The sequence below is a fragment of the Homo sapiens genome, chromosome 17, assembly GCF_000001405.40.
Source record: "Homo sapiens chromosome 17, GRCh38.p14 Primary Assembly".
NCBI classification, from domain to species: domain Eukaryota; kingdom Metazoa; phylum Chordata; class Mammalia; order Primates; family Hominidae; genus Homo; species Homo sapiens.
The window spans coordinates 12,748,395-12,758,613 of record NC_000017.11 but is presented as its reverse complement, the minus strand read 5'-3'; the positions used below and the strand labels follow the sequence as shown (position 1 = coordinate 12,758,613).

General features: G+C 42.4%; 1 protein-coding gene across 5 annotated transcripts in view; it reads right to left on the bottom strand.

Moving 5' to 3' along the window:
• The window catches only part of MYOCD (myocardin), a 103,060-nt gene that overhangs the window by 10,336 nt on the left and 82,505 nt on the right, over positions 1-10,219 (bottom strand). For 3 of the 5 annotated variants that reach the window (NM_001378306.1, NM_001146312.3, XM_017025342.1), the window contains 3 exons: positions 5,268-6,200; positions 2,057-2,200; positions 401-529 (listed from right to left, as the gene is read on the bottom strand). In NM_001378306.1, coding sequence (NP_001365235.1) covers positions 401-529; positions 2,057-2,200; positions 5,268-6,200 — 1,206 coding nt within the window. The remainder of the gene's footprint in view (positions 1-400; positions 530-2,056; positions 2,201-5,267; positions 6,201-10,219) is intronic. The other 2 variants (XM_005256863.1, NM_153604.4) reach the window with 2 other exon arrangements.

The following is a 10,219-nucleotide window of genomic DNA, read 5'->3' as shown; positions in this document are numbered from 1 at the left end:
AGGAAGTATTACCCTGACAGTCACTCTCATCTATTTGAGAAGGTATTATGTGCCTGAACAATGTGGTAAGTGCGAGGCTATCTAGAATCCTTACCAAGTAAATATTATCCCTATTTTGCATAAGAGAGGTGAAGTATTCACCTTAGTGACAGTGGCAGCTGGCAGATGGCAGAACTGGTACCAAAGCCAGACAGGTGACCCTCTTCTCTCCCTGCCTCACACAGCTACACATGCAACACTGTTTTCCAATTATTGTCTAGATAATTTGCTTATTTTGGTGGTATGGCACATGACACACTCAATATCAGAATTTACAAACTGCGTGAAGTTTAATCATATCAAACAATGTCTGTTCATTGAGTCAGTCTATTCTTCCATAAAGAACAAATCACATGGTTACCTGCTTTACGGCATCTTCATAGGATGGAGGCTGTGTTACCTCTGAAATTGCTGAACTTGACTTAGAAAAAGTTGGGGATGGAATTGAAAACTTTGGCCCCACCTTATCAGAAGAGTGTAAACCAGCCATCTGCATGGGTAAAATATGAAGAAAGGCATTGAATTCATGGATCTGAAATTATGTTGTTTCTGTTCTAGAAACAACAGGCTAAATTTTGGAAAAATTGATCTAAGAGGAAAAAAGAAAAGTCCAGGGCTTAGAAAATAACTCCCATATATTAACAGTAGTGAATGCTACTGTGGGTTCATTGGTGGTGGCGTCTTAGAATGGCAACCTTGCAAGATCTATTTTCCTCCTTAAGGTGCACCCTCTTATTTTAGGGGAAAATAAGTAACAGTCCAATTCAATACAAACAGATCAGGCTAGGCGTGATGGCTCATAGCTGTAATACTAGCACTTTGGGAGGCCGAGGTGGGCAGATCACCTGAGGTCAGGAGTTCGAGAGCAGCCTGGCCAACATGGTGAAACCCCATCTCACTAAAAATAAAAAAATTAGCCAGGCATGGTGGTGCGCCTGTAATCCCAGCTACTTGGGAGGCTGAGGCGGAAGAATCGCTTGAACCTGGGAGGTGGAGGTTGCAGTGAGCCGAGATCGCGCCACTGCACTCCAGTCTGGCCGACAGAGTGAGACTGTGTCTCAAAAATAAATAAATAATAAATAAAAAATAATCAACCCAGGAATTTCCAGACTAATCTACCCCACAGGTCATTTATTCCAAACTGGGTATTTTGCAGAGAGCTGGAGGCATTGCTGAGGTCTCTTTATGAACCAGCTTTGTTTATTTTGAGTGTGTTCTCCTGTGGAGTGCCTGGCCCAATTCAGGGTCTCTGCCCCTTCCGACTTGTGGTATGTGGCACTTTTATGTCAGGCTTATCTTGTTTGTCTCCTTTCTGCCACCTCTTCTTTGCCCCTTGAGACTCTCCATACCCTGGATCCTTCATACCCCTGACTTCTTCCACCAGCTGAAGGGTGATATCTCTTCCTTTTCCATAAAGATATTGCACTGTGACCCCTGCTTTGCACATCTCTCCAATCCTGTCCATGGATCTGTGTCCCTCTCTCTTCCTCCAATGTTGTTTCCCACACACCCTGATCCCAATCTTTAACTTCACAGAAACTGGTTTACTGTTCAAGTTGTTTTGCAAACATATGGCCATTTTAGTCATCATGATTTCTGGGATGACCCCAGGAAATGACTCCTTGGGAAAACTTCTAACTCATATCTGTACATCCTTTTAGATGCATTTGGAGTGGATTTGTTTCTCTCTAGAATGAAATTTACTTCTGCCTTGAAAGGGAACTTCATTATTTTTCACTTTGGAGGACCTATTCCAGCCCTTTCTAATCAATCTGTCCCTCCCTCCCACCAGCATTTAATGTTGTAAGCATAGATCAGTCATTGTTAACCTATATTGTTCTTTATTTTTTTATTTTATTCTTTTTTTTTTTTTTTTTTTGAGATGCAGTCTCGCTCTGTCACCTGGGCTGGAGTGCAGTGGTGCGATCTCGGCTCACTGCAACTTCTGCCTCCCGGGTTACAGAAGAGAGAAGAGGCAAAGTGAATCCCAGGTTGAGGCCTTTTTTCAGGTGCCTACCTTTTGCTGTACACATGGGCTTTTGGGACAAGGGTTTCCCCCGGCACCATGACTGCTGTCTGCTTGGGCTCCAGAGAAGGGCGGGTGGAGGCTGGAAGAATGGGGAGAGAAGCTTGGAGGATGGCCATCGTGTGCTCCTGAGTTCTGCAAAGGAAGAAGTGACAAATTACATGGCCAGCAGCAGCTTACTTGAGTGTGACCTTTGCTGACAATTCTGGTTCCTGCCCTGTGTCCCCTGGTGTCATTTTTACAAACCTTCCTAAATTCCATTACCAGATGAACTTGCCTAAAATCTGGCTTTTTAGACATCACCTACTGCTCAGAAACTTCCAGTGGCTCCAGGTATCCACATCATAGGATTTCCGCTTTCAAACCGGATGGGTGTTCAAGACTCTACACTTTGGTGCTATTTACTTCTGCAAGCTTAAGTTCTACTATTCCCGCCATGGACCTCCGGCAGCATGCCCTGTACATTCCATCCCCCTACCTTGTCCCTTTCCTGGCCCTCTACTTTTTAACGTGACACTTCCTGTCAAGTCCAACCCCTTCATGAAAGCTTCCTGGACCTTTCCAGCCCTTTCTAATCAATCTGTCCCTCCCTCCCACCAGCATTTAATGTTGTAAGCATAGATCAGTCATTGTTAACCTATATTGTTCTTTATTTTTTTATTTTATTCATTTATTTTTAGACGGAGTCTCACTCTGTCGCCCGGGCTGCAGTGCAGTGGTGCGATCTCGGCTCACTGCAACCTCTGCCTCCCAGGTTCAGGCTATTCCCTTACCTCAGCATCCCTAGTAGCTAGGACTACAGGCGCGTGCCACCACGCCCGGCTAATTTTTGTACTTTTAGTAGAGATGGGGTCTCACCATATTGGCCAGGCTGGTCTCTATCTCCTGACCTCGTGATCCACCCGCCTCAGCCTCTCAAGCTGGGATTACAGGCATGAACCATCGCGCCTGGCCTAATTTTTGTATTTTTAGTAGAAATGGGGTTTCACCATATTGGCTAGGCTGGTCTCAAACTCCTGACCTTGTGATCCACTCGCTTGGCCTCCAAAGTGCTGGGATTACAGGCATGAGCCACTGTGCCTGGCCTAATTTTTGTATTTTTAGTAGAGATGGGGTTTCACTGTGTTGGCCAGGCTGGTCTCGAACTCTTGACCTTGTGATCCGCCCACCTCGGCCTCCCAAAGTGCTAGGATTACAGGTGTGAGCCAGTGCGCCTGGCCTGTTCTTTATCATTTTATCATGAAATTTTTAATGTCTTCAAAGAGTCTTTGTGAACCATAAATCACTGTGCAACGTTAGCAGCAGTATCATCAGTACTGAAATTTTTGGTCCAGAGCTGTGTCTCAAGAGCTATTTTTACCTTTGTTTCCCAGGACACTACACACTCAATAAATGTTTGTTAATTATGACAATAAGTTTTTTAGGTCCTAATTTCTCCCACAGTGCCCCTCAGGGGTAGTAGACATCATTCATTGGAATGCATTGTTCCTGTAGGTTTGTAAAAATTACTTCTCGTTACCTTTTGCCACACTTCACATTCTTGGGGTGGAGATATTCCACTTGAATAGGGCATTGTACTTAGAATTAACAAATCTTGGGTTCATGTGATCCTGGGTAACTAATTTAAGCTCTCTGAGCCTCATTTTCCTCAATGACAAATAAAGAATAATACATTGGAGCTCATAGGTTTCTTGTGGCAATAACTGAGATTACTCATAGACATGCCTTGTAATGCTTGGCACTTAGCAGGTATTCAGTTAATGTAAGTTTTCTTCTGATTCCTTTTCTAATAATGGTGATGTCAGAACCTTTTGATAATGTAACCTTTCTCAACTTGACTTACATAGGCTTTCCTAGTAATTCTTCAGCTCATGAGCATAAAGTCTTTGTCAGTCACCTTTGCCTAGTCTTTGAGTTAGTGAGTCTTCTAAGCCATCTCCTATGACCACTTCCATTCTGCTCCGGCCACTGGCCCTTTTTCTGATCCTTGAACAGTCCCTACAAGTTCCAACCTCAGGGCCCCTGCAAGTGCTATTTCTCGTTTGCCTTCAATGCCTTCACCCCAAATATCCACGACATTTTCTTTTTACTGCTTTCAAGGTTTTGCTAAACGTCCCTGGCTCTTCTATTTAAAGTTGCAAATTTCCGGCTGGGCATGGTGGCTCACGCCTGTAATCCCAGCACTTTGGGAGGCCAAGGCGGGCGGATCACGAGGTCAGGAGTTAGAGACCAGCCTGGCCAACATGGTGAAACTCTGTCTCTACTAAAAATACAAAAATAGCCAGGCATGGTGGTGTGCGCCTGTAGTCCCAGCTACTCGGGAGGCTGACGCAGAAAAATCGCTTGAACCCGGGAGGCAGAGGTTGCAGTGAGCCAAGATCACGCCACTGCACTCTAGCCTGGGTGACAGAGCGAGACTCTATCTCAAAAAAACAGTTGCAAACTTCCAAACTACACACACACACACACACATACACACACACACACCTCTTTGCTTTTTCTCCATAAGATGTGTCATCTTCTAATATAGTACATAATTAACTTTGAAATTGTTTAATTTACTTTTAAACTGTCTCTGTTCCCATGAGAATAGAAATTTTTGTTTGGCTAGTTCAGCACTAAGTCCCAGAGATGAGAACGGGGCCTGGCACATAGTAGGTGCTCAGTAAATGTTTGCACTATGCAGACCATTACATGAAGAGTAAGATCTGATGATTTCCCCTTTAAACCTTTGAGGCATTGGTTTGGCCTATGATAAGGTTGGACACCGAGGAATCCTGGGAATCCTGAGAACAGCGGTCAGCAAACTGCAGCCCACAAGCCAAGTCTTGCTCACTGACTATTTTTTAAAATAAAGTTTTATTGGGACAGAGCCATGTGCATTTGCTCACATGATATCTATGGCTGCTTTTGTGAAACAAAGGCAAAATTGGGTAGGTATGACACAGACAGTGTGACCTGCAAAGCAAAAAATATTTACCATCTCGCCCTTTACAGAGTAAGTTTGCCAACCCCTGCCTTAGAGGATGAGTGAGTTTGGTCTACCATGAGGATTCAAGGATTGTAGTGTCTGGGAGATTCTGCTATGCTTTTGGTAAACCCTTCCCATTGAAAATTCTGACATTAGCTCTTTAGCAGTTGAAAATTTGTAACCCACTTCCAGAAAGAAGTGTGCACCAGGCATGGCGCAAGGTGCTCTTACCTGTGCAGTGCACACCTGGCTGCTGATGGGCGAGGAGACCCTGTGCCCTTCTCCCTGGGCCCCGGAGGATGAGGGCAGAAAGTGAGGGTTGTTGGGTGATGGGGGCAAACTGATGTGCTGTGGGCTTTTCACAGCCCCCAGCGGTGAATGCTGAGGGGAACACTGGGGGCTGAGAAATGTGGAAGAAAGTACATTGGTTTGATCTGAGGACTCCACACAATGAGCATTTCCAAGAGGCTGGAGTTGAGCAGCTTCACAAGCCGGTGGGTGACACTCTGAGCTGCTGCTTTGTCTTTTCACAGGTACTTGGGATGCAAAAGGACAGCTGGAGACAGCCTCTTCCTGCTTGATGGAGGCAGCCAGGAAAGGCAGCGGCTTCTTCTCTGAACAGTTATTCCTTTTCTGCTTCTGAAGCTGCATCCTCAGCTCCTCCACCTGCCTCTGCTCTTGCTGGAGTTTCCAGGTGAGTTCATTGATCACCTTCTGCTTCTCCACCAGCATCTTGTCCTTCTCGGAGTCCAGCCCATCCAGCTCAGAAGGAACAGAGCCCCCATTCAGGCTGCTCATGAGACTTTCCTCCGTGCACACGTGGACTGGGGACGGGTGCAGGCCGAAGGAGGGGGAGGCATCATTGAAGGTGTCCGGCAGGGACCCAGCGACTGACAGGTCAGAGGAGGCTGGGGAGATCGGGGGGCTGGAGCTGGTGCTGCCAAAGTGGTAGAAGCCGTTGGACAGGGCACTGGTAGAAGAGGAAGACTGGTAATTGGGCAGCGTGTTGGGTGTGACAGGAAAAGTGACAGTCGTTATATCCCCAAAGTTCGGCACTGGGTTGCCAGAGCAGTCCTGGAAGGGTCGAAGCCGGTCCATGAGAGCCGTTTTGGTGCCTGACACAGGCAAGCCCCGAATTCGAAGCTGTTGTCTTAATTCAGAGACCTAAAGAAATCAGAATGTGGTTAGTGTGCTGTTTAACGACAATATTTTTAAAAGTGTATTCATTATACAATTAGCTTCAAAACATCACAAATGGAATTCTACAATACCCACCTCTTTTTTATACTTCTTTCCGATTTCCTCTCCTACCCCTGATATAAATCAGTTCTGCACAATTTTAACAATTATTTTTAACTTTATCGTATACGGTGTTTTCATGGCCTTAGAGTCATAGAAATGTAGAGCTTGAATGAATGGTAGAAGTCATCTAATCTACTGCCCGTCATCCCTCATGGCGATCTGTGTCCCCATTTTATAGATGAGAAAACATATCTGCCTGGGTTTAGACACAAGCCCTCCAACAATAGTCTTGAAGTACAGCAAAGTCTGCAGCTTTTCTGGCTTCCTTGGTGAGGGCTCTTCCTACCACGTTCTCTTCCTCAAACCTGAACATGCGCCAGAACCACTGGAGGGTGTGTTACAAAGCAGACTGCAGGGCCCCACTGTGGGGTTTCTGACCCAGTTGATACGCATTTCTAACAAGTCCTCAGGTGGTGCCCCGACCTGACTTTGAGAACCACGGCTCCATATAAACGTTTATGTCCTAATTGTAATGACCAGCTGAATAATAGTCGTATACTGAGAGAGTATGTGGCGATAAGACCATCAGTTCAACTCCTGGCCCTGTCTGTTACTAACTCAGTGATCAATCACTCCGTGCCTCAGTTTCCCTTCTGGGAAATGGAGGAAATAATGCTTACTTTATGCATTTTTGTGAGGGTTAAAATGGCTTAAAATGTATAAAGCACTTGGAATAGTGCCTGGCAAATTGTTGTGCAATATAAAGTTTTACTAATATTATTATGTTAATTCACTTGTAATTATCTTATCCCTGTATTTTTTATAATGTTCATAAACTGGAAACTCTAAATATCTACAAATATGAGAAGTGGTTAGGTAAATGATAGTGTATGCAAATGATGGGACACTACAGATCCATTAAAGCTGATGCTATAAATATTTGCTGACATTGGATGATTAATTGTTGTGGTATAGTAACAAGTGAACAAAGTTTGAATTGACTATTTTTCTAAAAATTATATAAACAATGTATGTACATATATATATACATATATATATTTGAACCTATGTTTGCATATGAAAAATCCAGATAAAAATATGCTAAAATGTTAACAACGGTTCTCCTTATCTGTATGTTCTAAATATGCCACATAAACGTATTACGTTTGTAATTAAAACAGGAAACATATTAAATACCTAAATGTCAATAATTTCATAAAACAGAAGACTATAGGGAAATATTCTGATACTCTGTAGGAAAAGATAGTTTGAGAAAAATATTGAAAACAAAATTTAAAACTTCTGTAAGTCAAGAAACTACAAAGCGCAAATACAAATAGCTATCTTGGGAAAAATGAATTGTGACACAAATAATAAAGTGTTAAAAAGCTCAATGTATCAAGTGTGCTAATTGATTAAAAAGAAGATTGATACCCAGTATAAAAATGAGCAAGGGATATATGATCCAGCTTTTCAGAAACGAAATAAAATTTAAAATATGGACAGTAATGTATGTATATCATCATTAGTAATCCAAGAAATGAAAATCTAATGAATATATATCTATTTGTATTGATTAAGTTGGCAAATGAATAAGAAGACTTTGTGTTAGTTAAGTAGCGGCAAAAATTAAATTAGTTTTTTTTTGAGGCGGAGTCTTGCTCTGTTGGTCAGGCTGGAGTGCAGCGGCATAATCTCGGCTCACTGCAACCTCCACCTCCCGGGTTCAAGCAATTCTCCCGCCTCAGCCTCCCGAGTAGCTGGGATTACAGGCACGCACCACCACACCGGGCTAATTTTTGTATTTTAAGTAGAGACGGGGTTTCACCATGTTGGCCAGGCTGGTCTGGAACTCCTGACCTTAGATGATCCACTCACCTCAGCCTCCCAAAGTGCTGGGATTACAGGCGTGAGCCATAGCGCCCGGCCCAAAATTACAACGTGTTTGTAAAGCTCTTTATTACATTGCTATTCAAAGTATGGTCCTTAGACAAGCAACATCAGCATCGCCTGGGAGCTAGTTGGAAATGCAGAATCTTGGGCCCCTCCCCAGACCTAAATCAGAATCTTCATGCTACCAAGAGCTCAGGTGATTCAGTTCACACATTAATGTTTGAGAAGTGCTGCTTCGACTTGCTGCTTCTGGGAACAGACACATAAATGTTCACGGCAGAAATTTTAATATGTATCAAAAACTTTAGCCGGGCGCCGTGGCTCACTCCTGTAATCCCAGAACTTTGGGAGGCCGAGGCGGGCGGATCACGAGGTCAGGAGATCGAGACCACGGTGAAACCCCGTCTCTACTAAAAATACAAAAAATTAGCTGGGCATGATGGCGGGCGCCTGTAGTCCCAGCTATTCGGGAGGCTGAGGCAGGAGAAAGGCGTGAACCCGGAAGGCGGAGCTTGCAGTGAGCCGAGATCCGGCCACTGCACTCCAGCCTGGGCGACAGAGCGAGCCTCCGTCTCAAAAACAAACAAACAAACAAACAAAAAACTTTAAACAATATTAATATATTTAATTCAGGAATTTTATTCTAGCCTGAGGAAATAATCAGAGAAACTAATAAATGTAGGCACAAAGATCACTGAAATCATATATATATATACACACACACATATATATACACATATGTATACATATATACACATATGTATGTGTATATACATATGTGTATATATACGTGTGTATATATACACACGTATATATAGGTTTTGAGACATGTGTATATATATACACACATATATATAGGTTTTGTATATATACATATACATATGTATATACATACATATATATATATAAGTTTTGAGACAGAGTCTCGCTCTGTCACCCAGGCTGGAGTGTAGTGGTGCGATCTCAGCTCACTGCAACCTCCGTCTCCTGGGTTCAAGCAATTCCCCTGCCTCAGCCTCCTGAGTAGCTGAGATTACAGGTGTGCACCACCACACCCGGCTAATTTTTTGTATTTTTAGTAGAGATGGGGTTTCACCATGTTGGCCATGCTGGTTTTGAACACCTGACCTCAAGCGATCCGCCCACCTTGGCCTCCCAAACGCTAGGATTACAGGCGTGAGCCACTGCGCCCCGCCTGAAATCACGTTTTGAATAGCAAAAATCTGGTAGCTAGTGAAGTGTCCAGCAGTGGAATGTTAACTAGGTGGTGAAGTGATATGCTGCTATTAAAAATAAAAAATTTATTGAATATTAACAGTTATGAAAAATGTTCACGATGTGTTAAGAAAAGAAGTATGCCAGTAATTTATGTGCACGTAATTTTTTCAAGACAATTATTTTAAAACAAAATGTTTATATGCATTTTAAACCTAGAAGGAAATATAATCTGCTTTCTGTTAGTCTTATCTTTCAAAATACTGTTTACTTTTCTACACACTATCATATTTCAACAGTCAATATATGTTACTTTATAATCAGCTAAAAGGAAAGGATTGAATTAACTTACATTAGCAATTATTTATTTACCCTATAGTCTTGCTGGAATTGTTTTATCATTTTCTTTTAGATTTGCTGGTTTGAAAAAGTACAAAATGGCAACTCATTATTGTTTTAATTTTGAATTACTTAAAATTGATGAGTTCTACATTTATTTTTAGAATCTGTCTTGCCACTGAATAATTTAACTACATTATTAAATAATGTAGCTCATATTCTAAAAATGAATACAGTTGAGTTTAATTTACCTTAAACTTCAGAATATTACACTGTATGCGCTTGTTCAGGACAAAGGTTTATATACACCTCTTCCCTACATTCACTAGTGTTTTCATCACTAATAACTTTTTAAACTATTATGGAAAAATTCACACATACACAAAAGTAGATAGAAAGTCTAATGAACCTCATATACTCATCAACAAACTTCAACAATTATCACTCATGCCCAATCTTGTTTCTTCTATACTCCAACCCACTTCTCCTACCTT